Source organism: Homo sapiens, chromosome 16 (genome assembly GCF_000001405.40).
Source record: "Homo sapiens chromosome 16, GRCh38.p14 Primary Assembly".
Classification (NCBI taxonomy): domain Eukaryota; kingdom Metazoa; phylum Chordata; class Mammalia; order Primates; family Hominidae; genus Homo; species Homo sapiens.
The window spans coordinates 11,552,080-11,571,854 of NC_000016.10; the positions used below are offsets into that span (position 1 = coordinate 11,552,080).

Genomic DNA, 19,775 nt, shown 5'->3' on the forward strand with positions numbered 1-19,775 from the left:
AGCCTCTTATTGAAGTTAGGAAGAGAAATATTGTTCCTTCTCAACCTCAAGTCACCAAAGGACAATGTGGAGGAACGTGCCGGTTGCATGAGGCTCCTGAAACTCACAAACACCGTTTCCTTCAAGGAAAAGAATGGAGCCCCTTGGGGTTTTCTGAGTGGCTCACGTGGCCAGGTATAAGGAAGCTACTTTTACCTGCTTGGTGGGAAACAAAAAATTGATTGTGTTTCCTCAGATTTTTCTCCCAGAACAGAAACTGTTATCTCTTTAAACATAATACCTTTGGTGCAGACATAAAATTTATATAATTTCCCTGCATGGGCAATGGGAAAAATACTTCGGGTCATAAAAGGATAAGAAGTTTTGAAGCAATTCCTATGAAGAATTTTAATGTACAGATTCTTTAAAGCTTCCCTCGGGCTCGAGCAAAACATTATTATTTAGGTCATGAAATTCTAGAAGAAAAAGGAATCCCTGAGGATATTGCCCTGTACACAGCTGGAAGCAGCTGTGAAGCTTGTCCCTACATGCAGGGCGTGGTTTCAGCAGATAAGCAAGAAGAAAAGACGGAAGACCAATTTCTGGGGACGGATACGCTTAAGAGCAGCAGGGATGACTTGGCCTCCCAGGGGGCATTTTTGTTCAGAACACTGGGGAGCGTGGTGCTCCTAGCATTAAGCGGGTGGGGGCCAGGGATGCTATTCAATATCCTACAATGCACAGGACACCCCCTACAATAAAGAAATGTCTTGGGCCAGGCATGATGGCCCACACCTGTAATCCCAGCACTTTGGGAGGCTGAGGCGGGTGGACCACCTGAGGTCAGGAGTTCGAGACCAGCCTGGCCAACATGGTGAGACCCTATCTCTACTAAAAGTACAAAATATTAGCCGGGCCTGACGGTGCACACCTGTAATCCCAGCTACTCAGGAGGCTGAGGCAGGAGAATAGCTTGAACCTGGGAGGCGGAGGTTGCAGTGAGCCGGGATCGTGCTACTGCACTCCAGCCTGGGCAACAGAGTGAGAATCCATCACAAAAAAAGAAAGAAATGCCTTAGGCCAGGCACAGTGGCTCACACCTGTAACCCCAGCAGTTTGGGAGGCCAAGGTGGGCAGATCACCTGAGGTCAGGAGTTTGAGACCAGCCTGGCCAAGATGGTGAAATGCCAGCTCTACTAAAAATAAGCTGGGCGTGGTTGTGCACCCCTATAATCCCAGCTACACGGGACGCTAAGGCAGGAGAATCGTTTGAACCTGAGCAGTGGGGGTTACAGTGAGCCGAGATCGCCCCACTGTACTCCAGCCTGGGCGACAGAACCAGATTCCATCTCAAAAAAAAACAACACAAATGTCTGGCCCTGAATGTCAAGCATGGTGCAGTTGAGAACCCACCCCCGCCAGCACCCAGAGAGAAGGGCAGGATGGCTTGGGGCCAAGTGGGAGGCAGACTCACCCCAGCAGGCACAGGCTCCCGCAGGACAGCCAGGTCAGAGCACCGGCGTTATAGGACAGCTGACTCACGATCATCTTGTTGCAGGAAGGACAACACATTTGGATAGGGCGGTCCAAAAAGGTGATGGGGTGCTGCACGTAGACCGTCTGCACGGTAACTGATGAAAGGGAGAGGGACAAACACAGGTTGCTCAGGAAACAAGGCCAATAGCATTCACTACAGGACAAAGAGAGGAACGCAGGGATGCCAGCAAATATTATATTTGTACATTTGTGTTCATAGCATGCGTTCATCGTCTGGCTATCTATGAGAGCCAAAAGGGGAAGGAACACCAGTGTCCATCGACGGACCAATAAACTAACACAGCGAAGTTTATCCATCCACCAGAATATGATTCAGCCTCAAAAAGAAAGGAGGACCGGGCGCGGTAGCTCATGCCTGTAATCCCAACACTTTGGGAGGCCGAGGTGGGAGGACTGCTTGAGCCTAGGAGTTTGAGATCAGCCTAGGCAACATGACAAGACCTCATCTCTACAAAAAAATATAAAAATTAGCCCAGCGTGGGAGTACACGCCTGTAGTCCCAGCTACTCAGGAGGCTGAGGTGGGAGGATCAGTTGAGTCTGAGAGATTGAGGATGCAGTGAATCATGATTGCGCCACTGCTCTCCAGCCTGGACAACAGAGCGACGCTCAGTCCCAAAAACAAATAAATAAATTTTAACCAGCCTCACACTGTGCCTAGCAGCTCTTGATAAATAATCCACTCTCTTTACACAAACCCTTTGATAAACTCTGACAGCCAATGATAAGGGTAGAGTTTACCAAGCCAGGAAACGCAGGCCAACTCTGTAAGACAACAAGCTAGTGAACTGTGTTGATACAAGAAATGAAAATATAAAATAATGCTAGGAAGAAAAAGCTATGTGAAAACATGTTCGAACATTCTCAAGAATCAGAAGAGAATCCAGGCCGGGCACGGTGGCTCACACCTGTAATCCCAGCAAATCCCTTGGCTTTGGGAGGCCGAGGTGCGTGGATCACCAGAGGTCAGGAGTTCAAGACCAGCCTGGCCAACATGGTGAAACCCTGTTTCTAAAGACAAAAATTAGCCGGGCATGATGGCACGTGCCTGTAGTCCCAGCTACTTGGGAGGCTGAGGCAGGAGAATTGCTTGAACTTGGGAGGCAGAGGTTGCAGTGAGCCGAGATTATGCCACTGCACTCCAGCCTGGGCAACAGAACAAGACTCTACCTCAAAAAAAAAAAAAAAAAAAAAAAGAGAGAACCCAGGGTGATGAAAATCATCAAGCACTTCAGTTGTTAAGCTCATATTTTTGTTAAAGCAACTTCCTTCTGTTCCTTTTTACGTTAGAATGTCATTTATATAACAAATGAATTAGGGGGAAATTACTGCCTAGAGTTAACTGAACTTAGTAATACTCATAGAAAGACCCTCCTTCCAGAAAAGTAGTATTAAATCATACTTTAGCACTTACGTGTAATTTTTTTTTGGCAGGGGGGACAAGGTCTTGTTGTGTTGCCCAGGCTGGAGTGCAGGGGTACAATCATAGCTCACTGCAGCCTCAACCTCCTGGGCTTAAGCAATCCTCCCACCTCAGCCTCCCAAGTAGCTGGGACTACAGGTACAAGCCATCACACTCAGCTAATTTTATTTTCATAGAGACAATGTCTCACTATGTCACTCAGGCTGGTTTGGAACTCCTGGCCTCAGGTGATCCTCCTGCCTCAGCCTCCTCAGTAGCTAGGATTACAGGCGCAAGCCACCACACCCTGTTCATACATTTTATTAAGTGTTTTTGGGGTTCAAGAATAAGTTATTTGGACCAGGCTCTGTGACTCATGCTGATAATTCTAACACTTTGGGAGGCCAAGGGAGGTGGGAAGATCGTTTGAGCTCAGGAGTTAAAGATCAGCCTGGAAAAACAGTGAGACCCGATTTACACAAAAATTTAAAAATTAGCCAGGTGTGGTGCTGTATGCCTGTAGTCTCAGCTATTCCAGAGACTGAAGTGGGAGGATCACTTGAGCCCAGGAGGTCCAGGCTATAGCGAGCCATGACTGCACCACTGCACTCCAACCTGGGCAACATGGTGAGACCCTGTCTCAAAAAAAAAAAAAAAGAAAAAGAAAAAGAAACTATTTATTGATCACAGGATGGTCTAAGAATCTAAAGTCATTATCTCATCCTCTTCCAGCTCAAAATAACTTGAACACAACAATAAGAGTTCACTTTTATCAAACGAGTACTCTGTATTTGGCACACACAACTTCCTCTCATGTTAACAACTCACTGATATTTATAAATAGGTACTTGATGAAACCTATTTTACAAATGGGGAAGCTGAGGCACAAGGAGGTTATGTGAACCCAGGCAGTCTGATTCACGGGCCCCCTCTCTGAGCTAAAGATTTCTTTCAGAACTACCTGTGATACTAAAGCAGTGACATACCAGGGCACCCTTGGGCGGAAGGAAGCACCAAAGGACAGGGACCATCTAGTTGCTCAAAAGCAGAAGAGCAACTTGCATTGAGGGTGAGCTGGTATGAAAACACAATCACACATTGCTCAGGACGGTTTCTTCTCCTCCCTATTCCTACCTCGGCCCTGGCCTCAGGGCAGAAGTTCTGCATCAGACCTCAGGAGGAAGTGTGCGGGCCCTTAAGACACAAACTCCCATTCTCAGAAGAAAGTTGGTTGTGCCTCCAAGAGATGTGCCAAAAGATTCGTATATGATGACCATGGGAAAGATCCTAAACCATACTTTATTACGGAAAAGCTGTGAGCCTCACCAACATGGAATCTAAAAGACTGCGTGTGGAATTTCAAGGTAAGGGGGTAAAACTGGAACGTACTGGCACTTCACTTAGACTCTTTGGCAGAGTCACTTCGGTCACTCTCCTGATTCCCAGGGTGGAGGGCCAAGGAATGGTAAGGGGGGCCTGGGAGGCCACACGTACTTGGATTGTTATTGGGGATGGGCGCTGGCTGGGTATAATACGAAGGAGGATTCATGCCCTTCCCATCAGGCCCCGTCACAAGCCCCGTAGTTGGCCCAGGCATGGGAGCTGGAGGTGTGGGGTAATAACTGTTAACAGCCACTGTCTCTTCATAGGATGGAGGTGCGGATGGTGCTGAGGAAGGCCCAGTGGCCGCCTGGTAAGGTCCTGGAACCGACATTTTACCTAAAACAGAAACAGAACATACCAGATAAGAAATTCAGTTGATCTCTCCCTCTCTTTTTCACCTAAGTCTTCAATTTTCTTTCTGGCAAACAGAAATTCTGAGAAAATGACTTCCATCCAGCTTTGTCCAAAAGCTAGGAAGAGGGTTAATGTCCCTTCAAGACCCCAGAATTAATCAAAAAGTAAATAATTACTACCCAAAATCACCAAAACCTGGAAAATCCAAAGTGGAAACATCAACCAAATAAGGGTCATTTCTTCTTCACATCTTAAACCATTACCAGACAATGACCTACGTACCTTCCATATCTGGTGTTTCTTCTTCGTTGTTTTTTTTTGTTTGTTTTTTTGTGGTTTTTTTGGTTTTTAAACCACTGTGGTTTTCACTAACTGTTTCAGGTAACGGAAAAGATAAAGGCATTCAAAAACCAACCACAAATTATCACAAATAGCAAAGGGGCCAGATGCCACAAAATGCACACTGTATGATGCTATTTAAATAAAGGTCAGAAATAGGCAAAATGAATCCATGGAGCGGTTACTCTTGGAAGAGGAAGAAGAATCTGGAAAGGGGTATGAGGGGGCCTTTGCGGGGGGCGGGTCCTGTTCTCTTTCTTCACCTGGGGGCTGGTTACAGAGGTATGTTCAGTCTGTAAAAATCTCAGTTGTACAATTAAAATGTATATACTTTTTTGTATGTGTGTTATAGTTTTGTTTTTTGTTTTGTTTTATTTTTTTGAGACAAGATCTGTCACCCAGGCTACAGTGCAGTGGTGTGATCTCAGCTCACTGCAGCCTCCACCACCCAGGCTCAGGTGATCTTCCTGCCTCAGCCTCCCAGGTAGCTGGGACTACAGGCATGTGCCCCCCCGCCCGGCTAATGTTTTCATTTTTTGTAGAGATGGGGGTCTCACTTTGCTATCTAGGCTGGTCTTGTACTCCTGGGGGCAAGTGAACCTCCCGCCTTGGCTTCCCAATGTGCTGGGATTAAAGGCATGAGCCACCGCGCCCAGCCTCTGTGTTATAGCTTTTTAAGAAGGAAATACACATAGACTCCAGTTCTCATTTTGAAAAATGAGCACCAGAGCAGCCAGGCACACATTTTCTTTTGTGAGGGCAAAGAAAGGATTTCCCTCCAGCCCTGGCAGAGCTGCTGCTCGCCTAGAATTACACCCTGCACCCAGAGTGTGCTCCTGTCTGATGTTCCATGATCCAGCAGCCATGGGGCAGCTGGAAGCAGACACAGTGCTGTTCTTTGTGTGGCTGTTTTTCTAACTGGGCAGGGTTCAGGCTGCCTTAGAAGAGCCATTCAAACCTGTCTCGGGAGAAATGGGAAATGAGGCTCCGGGGCAGCGAGCCACAACCACCACTCCCCTCTCCCGACACTGTCTGCCTCATTTTCTAGAACTCGTGGGAAGCCAAGGCAGCAATTAATCCCACTGCAGGGAGAAGGGTAGAGTCCTTCTCAGAAGCCCTGCCTCTAAACCAAGCCCCAAAGAGGAGACTTCTCTGGAGGAACCGAAGAAAGGGTATTCACCTCAAAGTGGAAACAGAGACCAGGTGCGGTGGCTCACCTGTAATCCCAGCACTCTGTGGAGCCGAGGTGGCAGGATAGCCTGAGCCCAGGATCTCAAGACTAACCTGGGCAACATGGTGAGACCCCCATCTCTAAAACAAAACAAAACAAAAGGGCTGGGTGCAGTGGCTCATGCCTGTAATCCCAGTACTTTGGGAGGTTGAGGCAGGAGGATCACTTGAGCCCAGGAATTCACCACCAGCCTGGGCAACATAGTGAGACCCTGTCTCTACAACGAATAAAAAAAGTAGCCAGGTGTAGTGGCACACACCTGTAATCCCAGCTACTTAGGAGGCTGAGGCAGGAGGATTGCTTAATCCTAGGAGGTTGAGGCTGCAGTGAGCCATGATCACTCCACTGCACTCCAGCCTGGGAAACAGAGCGAGACTCTGTCTCAAAAACAAACAAACGAAACAAAGTGGAATAGAGGCGGGGGAGTGAACGTGATAAAAAGAAAGTCAGTAAGTAAAGATAGGTTGGGGCTGCATTCTAGAAAACTTTGAAAGTCCCTTGGAGAACACGTGTTCAAGACTTCTTTCTATCAGAGTGCTGTCCAACAGAATCTTCTGTGAGGATGGAAATGCTCTGTATCTGCTGCCCAATATAGCAGCCACCAGTCACGTAAGGTTATTGGGCGTCTAAAATGTGGCTTGTGGCCGGGCACGGGGGCTCATGACTGCAATCCCAGCACTTTGGGAGGTCGAGGCAGTGGGATTACTTGAGCCCAGGAGTTCAAGACCAGCCTAGACAACATAGTGATACCCTCTCTCTACAAAATTTTAAAAATTAAAAAAATTAGCCAGGCATGGTGTTGCACACTTCTGGTCCCAGCTACCCAGGAGGCTGAGGTAGGAGGATCACTTGAGCCTAGCAGGTGGAGGCTACAGTGAGCCATGATCATGCCACTGCACTCTAGCCTGGGTGACAGAGCGACACTCTATGTCTAAAAGAAAAAAAGAAATGAGCTAGTGTGAGTGAAGAACTGAATTTTTTTTGTTTTAGCTTCTTTTTCATCTTTTTACTTGCCAATGAATTTTTACTTGTATTTAAGTTTAAGCAATTTAAATGTGAAAACTAACAATTCAATTATTGGGAAGCTTTTATGTAAGTCTGGGACAACTTGAATATATGAATCATTTTTTCAATGGTAAATTTGATGAACACTGAATATAGATCAAAATGTTTTTTGATAAAAATTTAGCATTCAATTTGGGATAGAATGTCAATGTAAAAATACACCCTGGGTTTCAAAACTTAGTAGGAAAAAATGAATGTAAAATATCTCATTAATAATTTCTTATATTGATATATTAAAATGACCACAGCTTAGATATATGAAGTTAAGTAAAATGTATTGTTAATTTCACCTGTTTCTTTGTACCTTTCAAAATGTGGCTACTAGGCCGGGCATGGTGGCTTACACCTGTCATCCCAGCACTTTGGGAGGCTGAGGCAGGAGGATGGCTTGAGCCCAGGCATTCTAGATCAGCCTGAGCAACATAGGGAGACACTGTCTCTACAAAAAAATTAAAAATTAGCCAGACATGGTGGTGCACCCCTGTGGTCCCAGCTACTTGGGAGGCTGAGGTGGGAGAATCACTTAAACCCAGGAGTTCAAGTGAGCCGTGACTGCGCCACTGCACTCCAGCCTGGGCGAGACTGTCTCAAAAATAAATAAATAAAAACAAAATAAATAAAAAAGAGGCCAGACACAGTGGCTCACGACTATAATCCCAGTACTTTGGGAGGCCAAGGCAGACGGATCGCCTGAGGTCAGGAGTTTGAGACCAGCCTGGCCAACATGGTGAAACCCCGTCTCTACTAAAAATACAAAAATTAGCCAGGTGTGATATTGGGCGCCTGTAATCCCAGCTACTCAGGAGGCTGAGGCAGGATAATCACTTGAACACGGGAGGTGGAGGTTGCAGGGAGCTGAGATTGCGCCATTGCACTCTAGCCTGGGCAACAGAGTGAGACTCTGTCTCAAAAATCAATAAATAAATACATTAAATGTGGCGGCCAGGCACGGTGGCTCATGCCTGTAATCCCAGCACTTTGGGAGGCTGAGATGGGTGGATCATTTGAGGTAAGGAGTTCGAGACCAGCCTGGCCAACATGGTGAAACCCCATCTCTACTAAAAATACAGAAATTAGCCAGGTCTGGTGGCGTGCGCCTGTAATCCCAGCACTTAACCTGGGAGGCAGAGGTTGCAGCGAGCTGAGATCACACCACTGCACTCCAGCCTGGGCCACAGAGCGAGATTCCATCTCAAAAAAAAAAAAAATGTAGCTACTAAAAAATTTTAAATGATGTAATGAAGCTTGCTTTCTGCTCCTAATATACAGCAAAGCTGTGAGCCGTGGGAGTCACAGAAGGTTATAGAGAAGGGGAAAGGCCCAACCCCAGAAAAGACAGATGAGACAGAAGGTCTTTAAGAGGAGCAAGAAGCAAAGTAGAGAAGGCCACAGAAGCAGGAGGGCAGGGTGGGGCTGTAATGAGATCGCAGGAGGTGTTTGTGAAAACAGGCTCTGGTTTAACACTGAGACATGGTGTAAAGTGGTTTGAGGCGTGTTGCTAGTTTCCTCTGACGTACAGGAACAGAAATGCAGCAGTCCCAGCTTGCCCCTAAACTCAGCGGACATCCCTCCCAGATGACCCCGGGAACCCCTGACATCTGCTTCTGGCTTTGTTGAAACTTCCAGCAAAGGGAACGACAGGGCACCCTGGGGGTCTGGAGTGACCTACATCCGGGTTGAACGTCGAGGACTCGCCGTCACAGCCCCAGACCCACCTCCATGATTTATGGTGAAAACTGACTCGTATAAAAACTTACAAGACCAGGAAAAGCCAGTGTGTACAGAAATCCTCAAGGAGCATGGTTGGTCGTGATTGCCAATGGAATGCTTTGAGGGAAAACAAGGCCTGGGGCATCCTAAACCTCCAAGAGGCAATGGCTGAATTCGGCAGCGGCGCAATTCCTGCAAAAACCACGGCCTCTCCTCCCAAAGTGAGGAAACTGCATCTTTACAGAGTCAACACACAGGTGTGGGGGATGGGAGGATGGGAGCTTTCTTTTGACGACCTTTAAAAGATGGGTGGGCCCCAGTTTCTCGTTTTGGAAATTAAGGCCTCGGCCACCGCCTCTCCCCCTTTATTGAGACCATCTTTCATGTGGTAACATCTTATCTTCTGGGATTTCGAGACACTGCATCTTCTGAGCATTGCTTTGAGATCAAACAGCCACACAAACACATTTATAATTCTGAAAAGAACAAGAGCAACAGGCCAGAATAGTAAAAAAGACTCATAACCGCTGGTTTGGAAGTTTTCTAAATAAATTCCACAGTCTTCCCTCCCTCAGGCCCCAAGGCCAGGAAATGCCACCACGGTTAGTCCCATTTTGTTTCCCTTGTTTTGCGCCTTCATTTCAATTTGGCTTATCTCCTGGGATAAGAGGCCCACCCACCAACCATCCCTCTCCTCATCACCCCCCATCCCCTCCTTATCACCCCCCCAACTACGAAACTCTTAGAACAGCAATTAGTCCCCCTCACCCTAAACTCACACACACACTCTCCACAATGTCTTTTTTTTAAAAAAGAGGGAAAGGGAGAAAGAAAGAGAGAAACAGGGTCTCACTCTATTGCCCAGGCTGGAGTACAGTGGCATGATCATAGCTCGCCACAGCCTGAAACTCGTAGACTCAAACAATCCTCCTGTCTCAGCCTCTGGAGTAGGTGGGACTACAGGTGTGTGTCACCATACCTGGCTATAACTTTTTAATTTTACTTAGAGACAGGGTCTTGCTAAGCTGCCCAGGATGGTCATAAACTCCTGGGCTCAAGTGATCCTCCTGCCTCAGCCTCTCAAAGTGCTGGGATTACAGGCATGAGCCACCGTGCCCTGCCTCTCCACACTGTGAACCTGGGAGATGGAGGCTGCAGTGAGCCGAGATCGTGTCACTGCACTCCAGCCTGGGTGACTGAGCGAGACTCCGTCTCAAAAAAAAAAAAAAAAAAAAAAAAAGAAGGAAGAAAAGAAATTCGAACACTTTTTGAACAAAGGGCCTCGCGTTTCCATGCTGCACTGGAGCCCAGAAATTAAGTAGCCAAATGTGACCGGTGGTGACAGAAAAGGAAAAGGAGGCATTCCTGATCCATGGAGAATTTTGATCTGACATGCCCAGCTGTGGAATCACTTTCACATCTATAAATATGCCACTTGGGATATCTTGGGGTCCCTTTTAGCCAAAAGTTTTCCTCATTCTACCTCTCAACAATTTGCTCAACGAAAGGTATTCTTGCCCAGGCATGTTGGATCACGTCTGTAATCCCAGCACTTTGGGAGGCCGACGTGGGCAGATCACTTGAGCCCAAGAGTTTGAGACCAGTCTGGGAAACAAATTCAGACCATGTCTCTACAAATGGTACAAAAATTAGCCGGGCGTTATGGCAGATGCCTGTGGTCCTGGCTGCTCTGGAGGCTAAGGTAGGAGGATCACTTGAGCCCAAGAGTTTGAGACTGCAATAAGCTAGGATCACGCCACTGCTCTCCAGCCTGGGTGACAGAGCAAGACCTTGTCTCAAAACAAAAGAAAAAAAAATAGAGTCACAAAATCATATATAAAGACAATCTTTAAAAATTTTTTTTAATTAAAAAATATATATTAGCCAGACACGGTTGCACAAACTTGTAGTCCCAGCTATTAAGGAAGCTGAGGTCGGAGGATTTGCTCGAGCCTGGGAGCTTGAGGTTACAGTGAGCTGTGATCACACCACTGCACTCCAGCCTGGGTGACAGAGTGAGACCATATCTCTACACAAAAAAATTATAATAATAATAATTTTTTTTTTTGAGTCAGAGTCTCACTCTGTCGCCTAGACTGGAACGCAGTGGCGTGATCTTGGCTCATGGCAACCTCCGCTTCCCAGGCTCAAGCAATTCTCGTGCCTCAGCCTCCCGAGTAGCTGGGATGACAGGTGCCTGCCAACACGCCCAGCTAATTTTTGTATTTTTTAGTAGAGACAGGGTTTCACCATGTTGGCCAGGCTGGTCTCAAACTCCCAACCTCAGATGATCAGCCCGCCTTGGCCTCCCAGAGTGCTGGGATTACAGGCGTGAGTCACCACGCCTGGCCAGAAATTATTAAAAACCAGAAAAATCATGAAAGGAAAATACACCCTCAGTGGAAGCAACACATTTGAACTCTGGAGGGATCACCTCTCTTTCTGCCTCCCTAATACATGAAAGTGCGTTTACTGTGCACTTTTATGCCACATACTTGATGCCATGCAAAAAATACCTGCCAATGATGGGTTCCAACTCATTCTGTCACTGGGCACCTTGCAATTCAAGGTGACCTGCTTCTTAGTAAACAGGCAATAGAACGTTAATGATCAGCCGAGGATGGAAAGTCACAAAGCTCAGCCCTCTCATATTGAGAAGAAAAACAATGAAATTCTGAGAGAGCTCAGAATTTCCCTGGAGGCAGGGTGCCCAAAGCTGCATATTTACTGCTTCAAGCCCTTAGCAAAAGACAAAGGGTTGGGGTGGGGGGCGTGCTTGTCAACCCAGACAGCATCTCCATCTCAGTTTTGCTTGTGTTTTTGTTTGAGACAGAGTCTCACTCTGTTACCCAGGCTGGAGTGTAGTGGCATGATTTCAGCTCACTGCAACCTCTGCCTCCCAGGTTCAAACGATTGTCCTGCCTCAGCCTCCCGAGAAGCTGGGATTACAGGCACGTGCCACTAAACCCAGCTAATTTTTTTGTATTTTTACTAGAGACAGGGGTTTCACCATGTTGGCCAGGCTGCTCTCGAACTCCTGACCTCAAGTGATCCACTCACCTCAGCCTCCCAAAATGCTATGGTTACAGGTGTGAGCCACCGCGCCCGGCCTCAGTTTTGTTAAAAGTGGAGGCAAAAAACCCAGGAACCCGCAGGGAGAAGCCACAGTGTCAGACCCAGCGATCATCCGTGCCCTTAACTGATATTAATGCACCGATCTGGAATCCTCGGGACGTGGAAATAAACTCCACGAGGGACCTCACTTTCAGCAACAGATCTGCTTCTAAACAATTCAGCCTCAACAGCCTCAGAATTCTCTGGAATAGGCCAGTGCAAGCTGCTACTTCGGGCACTCACAAGGTCCTGGGTGTCATCCTACTCCTTGCGCGCCCAAAACGGGTTCATTCAACGTTTGCACAATCAAACCTGCAGGTCAAAAGGTACAGTGTTCTAGATAGAATCTTGAATTTTTTTTTTTTAATGGGGAGATTGCAGGGGAGTGCAAGGATAAGCCTCACCCTGGGAAAACCACGTTCATGATTATGGTATCGCTCCTGCTAACTAAGTATGACCTTGAATCCTAAATGCAAAGGAAAAGATCAGACTTCGGGAAGCCCGGGGTGGCCAGCCTAGCAGTTTTATCACTGATCATTCCGGCTCCACGACAGCCCTGGAATGAACCTCGAAAGCACAAAAGGCTACAGATCAAATGATTCCACTGAGATGAAATGCCCAGAATAGGTGAATTCATAGAGATACAAAGCACATCACTGGTGGCCAGGGATGGGTGTACAGCAGTGGGAGGAAATGGGTATGGGGTTCTTTTGGGGATGATGAAAATGTTCTGGAACCAGATGGAAGTTGATGGTTGCACAATGCTACGAACTTACTAAATGCACTGAATTATCTTTTTTTTTTTTTTTGAGATAGAGTCTTGCTCTGTCGCTCAGGCTGGAGTACAGAACTTACTAAATGCCACTGAATTATCTTTTTTTTTTTTTTGAGACAGATTCTCGCTCCGTCGCTCAGGCTGGAGTACAGTGGCACAATCTTGGCTCGCTGCAACCTCTGCCTCCCAGGCTCAAGCAATTCTCCTGCCTCAGCCTCCCTAATAGCTGGGATTACAGGTGCCTGCCACCACACCCGGCTAATTTTTATATTTTTAGTAGAGACGGGGTTTCACCATGTTGACCAGGCTGGGCTCGAACTCCTAACCTCAAGTGATCCACCTGCCTCAGCCGCCCAAAGTGCTGGGATTACAGGCATGGGCCACCGCGCCTGGCCTTGAATTACTCACTTTTAAATGGTTATCTTTATGTGACTTTCTCTTCACTAAAAAGCGGGGGGCGGGGGGGTGGGGGGAGGTGCGGGGAGGAGACACTGCTGGAAATCTCTAATCTTACTATCCCAAGTCAAGGCCTTAAAACTGAGCCTCTAAGTTGGCTGCTGGTCTTGGTTCAGTCCATCCCGGGCCCGTTTGTTTAAAATCAAGCCACGTGGGTCTTTCTGACACCCCTCATTGTGCTCTTGACTAGCGCGACTCCCTGCTCCGGGTTTGTGGGGACTGAGAAGATTCCCAGGATGCACTGGTGCCCCTACCAACCGCACAGTCTCTCGTGGCGTCTCCCGCCACACCTGCCTTGCTTGGATGTTCCCAAACATGTCACGGGCATGCTCTTTCTTCCGTCTGCCTCCTTCCTGATGGGTCTGGCAAATTCCGCTTAGCTTGCGTGTCACCTCCTCCAAGAAGCCCTCTCTGCTTGCCCCCGGGAGAATTCATTCCTCCTGGAGCCTCTCTATATGGTGCAGAGGTCAAGGGCACAGACTCTGGAGCTAGACCCCCTGGGTTCCTCCAGGCGCCCCATGCCCCAGGGCATGACTTTAGTGCCTCAGTTTTCCCATCCGTAAAATGGGTACACTGATAGTTTCTTCCTCATAAGGCTCTTGAGAGGATGAAATGAATCCATTTGCAAAAAAGGACCAGAGCAACTTGGAACACATAAGCACTCGGTATGTGTCAGCTGTTATTAACTCATGTTTGTTTGCTGTATTTGTCATAAAGCAGTTTTCTTCACTTGTCTGTCTTCCTATCTGGTCATAGACCCCATAAGAGCAGGAACTGACACTAAAATCTGCATCCCAGCACCTAGAAAGAGGGCCAAAACATTATGGGTGCTTCATAGGGTGACCCAATGTCCCAGTCTCCCTTGGACAGAGGGGTTTTTCCCTGGATGCAGGACTTTTGGTGCTAAATCTAGGAAAGTCTCAGGCAAACTGGGACAAGTTGGTCACTCTGGTACTTCAACAGTTTGTAGAAAGCAATACCTAGGTATGAAAACAGGACACCAAGATCCATCTGGAAAGGCATGAAGATTTGGGAGCAGGCCAGACGTGGTGGCTCATGCCTGAAATCCCAACACTTTGGGAGGCCAAGGCAGAAGGATCGCTTGAGCCTAGAAGTTCGAGACCGGCCCGGGCAACATAGTGAGATGCCATCTCTACTAACAATCAAACAAATCAGCTGGGCGTGATGGCACATGTCTATAGTCCCAGCTACTCGGAGGCTGAGATAGGAGGATCCCTCGATCACTTGAGCCCAGGAGGTTGAGGCTGCAGTAAGCTATAATAGTGCCACTGCAATTCAGCCTGGGCAGGGGTAGGGGGGCGCATGGACAGAGGAAGACTCTACCTTGGGTTAAAAAAAAAAAAAGATTTAGGAGTAGACATGAAACAGCAGGAAGGGCTTACTCCAATAGCTCTAACATAGAATCTGAGAAAACGACATTTGTAAAGGAAGATGTTTATGTAATGACAAGCCTCCATATAGATGGTCTCACAGTTCAGCTCAAGGTAACACGAGGATTTATGGTGCAGATGCCAGCACATCACCAAATATGCTCAAGAACTGGAATCCGTGAATTGAGCCTGGAGTCCTTCATTTCCTCCGGGATTCCTGGGGGCAGTGTATTGTTTCTCAACAGGGCACCCTAGGATGTCCAGGCAGGAGGAGATCAAGTCGGGATAAAACATGGGTGGACAGGCTGGGCGCAGTGGCTCACGCCTGTAATCCCAGCACTTTGGGAGGCCGAGGCAGGCGGATTACCTGAGGTCAGGAGTTTGAGACCAGCCTGGCCAACATGGCAAAACCTCGTCTCTACTAAAAGTACAAAAATTAGCCAGGCGTGGTGGCACACGCCTGTAATCCTAGCTACTCGGGAGGCTGAGGCAGGAGAATTGCTTGAGCCCAGGAGATGGAGATTGCAGTGAGCTGAGATCGTGCCACTGCACTCCAGCCTGGGCAACAGAGCAAGACTCCGTCTGGAAAAAAAAAAAAACACAAAACAAAACAAAACAACAACAAAAACATGGGTGGACAGAGGTTGAAAGGGAAGTGTGGGGGAGTGTACACATGGACAAAATGAAGTCAGAAAGAAAAGCTGCCGCAGTCTCCAAACCTCAAGACTGGTTGGTTCATTTTTTTCTCCTTGGTGGAAGTTTATGGCACTGCTAAAATCATCACTCAGCGGAGGAGACCCCTTGTTTGGGCCAGCATCCATTCCAGTTCTGATTCCAGCTATGGAAAGATGTCAAGAGGGTAGTTCCAGGCCGGGCATGGTGGCTCACGCCTGTAATCCCAGCATTTTGGGAGGCCGAGGTGGGCGGATCACTGGAGGTCAGGAGTTCAAGACCAGCCTAGCCAACATGGTGAAACCCGGCTCTAATAAATACACAAAAATTAGCCAGGCGTGGTGACGCAGCCCTGTAATCCCAGCTATGTGGGTGACTGAGGCAGGAGAAGTGCTTCAACCCAGGAGGCGGAGGTTGCAGTGAGCTGAGATCATGCCACTGTGCTCCAGCCTGGGCAACAGAGCGAGACTCTGTCTCAAAAAATAAAGACGGTAGTTCCAGCAGGGCACAGTGACTCACACCTGTAATCCCAGCACTTTGGAAGCCCAAGGCGGGAGGATGGCATGAGCCCAGGAGTTCGAGACCAGCCTGGGCAACACAATGAGACCCCATCTCTACAAAAAAGACAAAAATTAGCCAGGAGTGGTGGTATGCACCTGCAGTCCAAGCTACTTAAGAAGCTCAGTGGGGAGGATCACCTGAGCCTGGGAGGCAGCGGTTGCAGTGAGCCATGTTTGCACTACTGCACTCCAGCCTGGGCAACAGAGCAAGACCCTGTCTCGAAAAAAAAAAAAAAAGAAAAGAGAGAGGGTAGTTCTTACCACTGTATTATCCATTCAGAACCTTGAGTCATGAGCAGGCTCCCCAATGTCCCCACCCCATCAAATTCAGAAATACTTGTCACTCCACGCTCATCACCTGGTCCTTGGGGTAGCCCTAAAGCCACTTGTTCAATGGGGACAAGGTGTCATCCGTTCCCCAGAAATGACACTGGCTTTCTTCATGGGTATCAAGCAGATTCTGAGTCTCTAACTTGCTGGTACCCAAAGATGTCACAACGTCAACAGTTCCAGCCAACAGGTGTGGAGAAGAAAGGGGACATCGAGTTGCTACCGTGTAAGTGCTCCACCTTCAGTGCTTGCTTGTGACACTGAAGGTACACCCTTGTTTTTTTTTGTTTTTTTTTTTTTTGAGATAGAGTCTCATTCTGTTGCCCAGGCTGGAATGCAGTGCCACGACCTCGGCTCACTGCAACCTCCACCTCCCGGGTTCAAGCGATTCTCTCACGTCAGCTTCCTGAGTAGCTGGGACTACAGGCATGCGCCACCAAGCCCAGCTAATTTTTGTATTTTTAGGAGGGACAGGGTTTCACCATATTGGCCAACCTGGTCTCCAACTCCTGACCTCAAGTGATCCACCCGCTTCAGCCTCCCAAAGTGCTGGAATTACAGGCATGAGCCACTGTGTTCAGCCTGACACCACTGTCAAAGGAGTCTCAGGGCCTTTCTCCTCCCTGACCCCATCCCTCTCTGGTGAAATGGCCAACAGGCAGACAGAGCCCAAAAGGGAAGGACGAGTAGGACGGATAGTGTCCAAGGCTGAGAACTGCCCTTGAGCAGCTGAACAGGACGCGGGGGCTTCCGAGCAGAATCCCATCAGAAATTGGCCTGGTGGGAAAACTGAGGCCACTAAGCTCAGAGATGATACAGGCTGGACATCTCTGCCTGGTGCCCAAGATAAATTTCTGTTTTTGAGAAGGAATCTCACTCTATTGCACAGGCTGGAGTACAGTGGCACCTGCATAGCTCACCACAGGCTCCAACTCCTGGGCCCAAGTGATCCTCCCACCTCAGCCTCCCAAGTACCTGGGATTACAGGCACATGCCACCATGCCTGGCTAATTTTTAATTTTTTTTGTAGGGATGAGGTCTCGCCATGTTGCCCAGGCTGGTCTCGAACTCCTGGCCTCAAGTGATCCTCTTGCCTTGGCCTCTCAAAGTGCTGGGATTAAATCAAGATAACTTAACATGTGGAAATTTCAGAAACACCTCTGTGTGTCCCCCTGTTATTTACAAGAGTCACAGATTCACTCATAGCTCAGGGAGAGTAGGAATGGCGTGGACTACGGCCTGGTCAACTGAACACCCAACTGTTACTCAGAGTGAAGAGAAGACACAGATGATGGTGAACAGGCAGGGCATGAAGAGGGAAATAAAAAGGGCTAAAAGAAAGGTAAGACAATGGGGCCAAGCGTGGTGGCTCACGCCTGTAATCCCAGCACTTTGGGAGACAGAGGCAGGTGGATCACTTGAGGTCAGAAGTTCAAGACCAGCCTGGCCAACATGGCAAAACTCTTGTCTTTACTAAAAATATAAAAATTAGCCAGGTGTGGTGGTGCTTGAATGTAATTCCAGCTACTTGGGAGGCTGAGGCAGAATTGCTTGAACCTGGGAAGCGGAGATTGCAGTGAGACGAGACGCACTGCTGCACTCCCGCCTGGGCCACAGAGCGAGACTTTGCCTCAAAAAAAAAAAAAAAGTTAAAATGGCAGAATTTTAAGGCAGGTCAAACCTTTAAGAGCAGAAACTCTAAGACCCAGGCTCCTTGGTTCAAATCCCAACTCTGCCACTTCTACGGTGTGCAAATGGGGGTGAGTTGCCAAATTTCTCTCAGGTTTCCTCATCTGGAAAATGGGCCAACAGTAGTACTTACACTTCAGAGGGCTGCTGTGAGAATGTAGTGAGCAAAATACACCGGAACATTGGGTAAGCAGGTTACTATTATATCAACACACAGCTGTCATTACAGAGGAGAGTAAAACCCAGGGAGGGGGTGACTTTCCCACAGTCACACGGGGGCTTCACTGTGAGAGGCAGGAGGACCCAGGCACAGACCTCATCCCGCCACAGGGACCTGTTCTGTACCCAGTACCTCCACGGCTTCACAGGTAGACATTCACTTGTTTGGCTAAATCCCCTACAGTCTGACCTTCCCACCCCTACCCGCAGTGTGGGCGACAGAATAATGCTCCCCAAAATTGTTCACAGCCTAATCCCTGGAAGCTCTGAATATGTGACCTTAAGTGGTAAAGACAGACTTTGTGTATGTGATTAAGAATCTTGAGATGAGGGGGTTATTCTGGATTAACCAGGTAGGCCCGGTGTAATCACAAAGGTCCTTATAAGAGAAAGGTAGAGGAGTTCGAGACCAGCCCTGGCCACATAGAGAGACCTCATCACTACAAAAATTACAAAAATTATCAAGGTGTGATAGCGCACATGTATCATCCCAGCTACTTGGGAGGCTGAGGTAGAAGGAGGTTGGGGGGTGGGGTCTAGGGGGTTGAGGCTGCAGTGAGCCACAGCTGCACCACTACACTCCAGCCTGGGCAACAGAGCAAGACCTCTGTTGGGTTTAAATGTAGAAAAAGGAAGCTGTTGGCTTTGAAGGGGGAGGAAGGAGCCATAAATTAAGAAATGCAGGCGGCCTCTGGAAGCTGGGAAAGGCAAGACCATGGATTTTCCCCAGGAGCCTCCAGGAGCACAGTCCAGCTGACACTGCTATTTTTTGTGTGTTGTTGAGTCCAAGTCTCACTCTGTCGCCCAGGCTGGAGTGTAGTAGTGCGATCTCAGCTCACTGCAACCTCCGCCTCCCAGGTTCAAGCGATTCTCCTGCCCCAGCCTTCTGAGTAGCTGGGATTACAGGCACCCAACACCATGCCTGGCTAATTTTTGTATTTTAGTAGAGATGGAGTTTCACTATGATGGCCAGGCTGGTCTCAAACTCTTAACCTCAGGTGATTCGCCTGCCTCGGCCTCCCAAAGTGGTGGGATTACAGGCGTGAGCCACTGCGCCCAGTCGACACATTGCATTTAATCTGAGGAAGCCCACTGCAGACTTCAGGCTCCAGAACTGGAAGATACTACATTCACGTTACCTAAGCCACTGAGTTCAGGGTAATGAGTTAGAAAACTCATCCATCCACCCTCATAGCTGGGTTGCCCAGATTCCCCACTGGCCCTGCAGATTCTCAATGGGCACTCTTCCCCCTCCCACAGCAGGGGGCACCAGGCAGAGGTCAGACCCCCTCAACCTCCCACCTGAACCCCCAGGCATCTGTCTGCCCGCCCTGGGCTCAGAAGCAGCCCTCCTCCTCTGGTTCAAACTTCAATCTGGTGAATGTGGCCATCTCTAGGTGGGAGTGGGCCCTGTGGTCTCTGGGAGGGACTGTGCTCAGACAATGTCCCCTCTTGCCAATCACGCCCTCTCGGCTGGCTCTTTTCCTGAGGTCTCCTAAATGGTTTAATCTTTCCAAGCACGGTGGCTCATGCCTGTAGTCCCAGCACTT

At 48.3% G+C, this 19,775-nt stretch overlaps 1 protein-coding gene across 12 annotated transcripts in view, besides 4 other annotated features; it reads right to left on the reverse strand.

Annotated features, from left to right (window-relative positions):
- LITAF (lipopolysaccharide induced TNF factor) overlaps positions 1-19,775 on the reverse strand; it is a 92,596-nt gene that overhangs the window by 4,358 nt on the left and 68,463 nt on the right. For 11 of the 12 annotated variants that reach the window (NR_024320.2, XM_047434928.1, XM_047434929.1 and 8 more), the window contains 2 exons: positions 4,432-4,656; positions 1,454-1,610 (listed from right to left, as the gene is read on the reverse strand). Coding sequence is in view for 11 of the 12 variants with exons in the window: in XM_047434928.1 (XP_047290884.1) it covers positions 1,454-1,610; positions 4,432-4,656 (382 nt within the window). In the remaining variant the exon portion in view is untranslated. Of the gene's footprint in view, positions 1-1,453; positions 1,611-4,431; positions 4,657-9,066; positions 9,088-19,775 lie in introns of those variants that run through there. The other variant, XM_006720983.5, reaches the window with a different exon arrangement.
- Positions 8,139-8,993: an enhancer, noted in NCBI's record as "H3K27ac-H3K4me1 hESC enhancer chr16:11654074-11654928 (GRCh37/hg19 assembly coordinates)". NCBI's record gives its function as "activates a minimal SCP1, AML or CMV promoter by ChIP-STARR-seq in naive H9 embryonic stem cells {active_cell/tissue: H9 hESC(naive)}" and the evidence as "EXISTENCE:reporter gene assay evidence [ECO:0000049][PMID:30033119]".
- Positions 10,094-10,723: an enhancer, noted in NCBI's record as "H3K27ac hESC enhancer chr16:11656029-11656658 (GRCh37/hg19 assembly coordinates)". NCBI's record gives its function as "activates a minimal SCP1, AML or CMV promoter by ChIP-STARR-seq in primed H9 embryonic stem cells {active_cell/tissue: H9 hESC(primed)}" and the evidence as "EXISTENCE:reporter gene assay evidence [ECO:0000049][PMID:30033119]".
- Positions 11,354-11,983: an enhancer, noted in NCBI's record as "H3K27ac-H3K4me1 hESC enhancer chr16:11657289-11657918 (GRCh37/hg19 assembly coordinates)". NCBI's record gives its function as "activates a minimal SCP1, AML or CMV promoter by ChIP-STARR-seq in naive H9 embryonic stem cells {active_cell/tissue: H9 hESC(naive)}" and the evidence as "EXISTENCE:reporter gene assay evidence [ECO:0000049][PMID:30033119]".
- Positions 11,984-12,611: an enhancer, noted in NCBI's record as "H3K27ac hESC enhancer chr16:11657919-11658546 (GRCh37/hg19 assembly coordinates)". NCBI's record gives its function as "activates a minimal SCP1, AML or CMV promoter by ChIP-STARR-seq in primed H9 embryonic stem cells {active_cell/tissue: H9 hESC(primed)}" and the evidence as "EXISTENCE:reporter gene assay evidence [ECO:0000049][PMID:30033119]".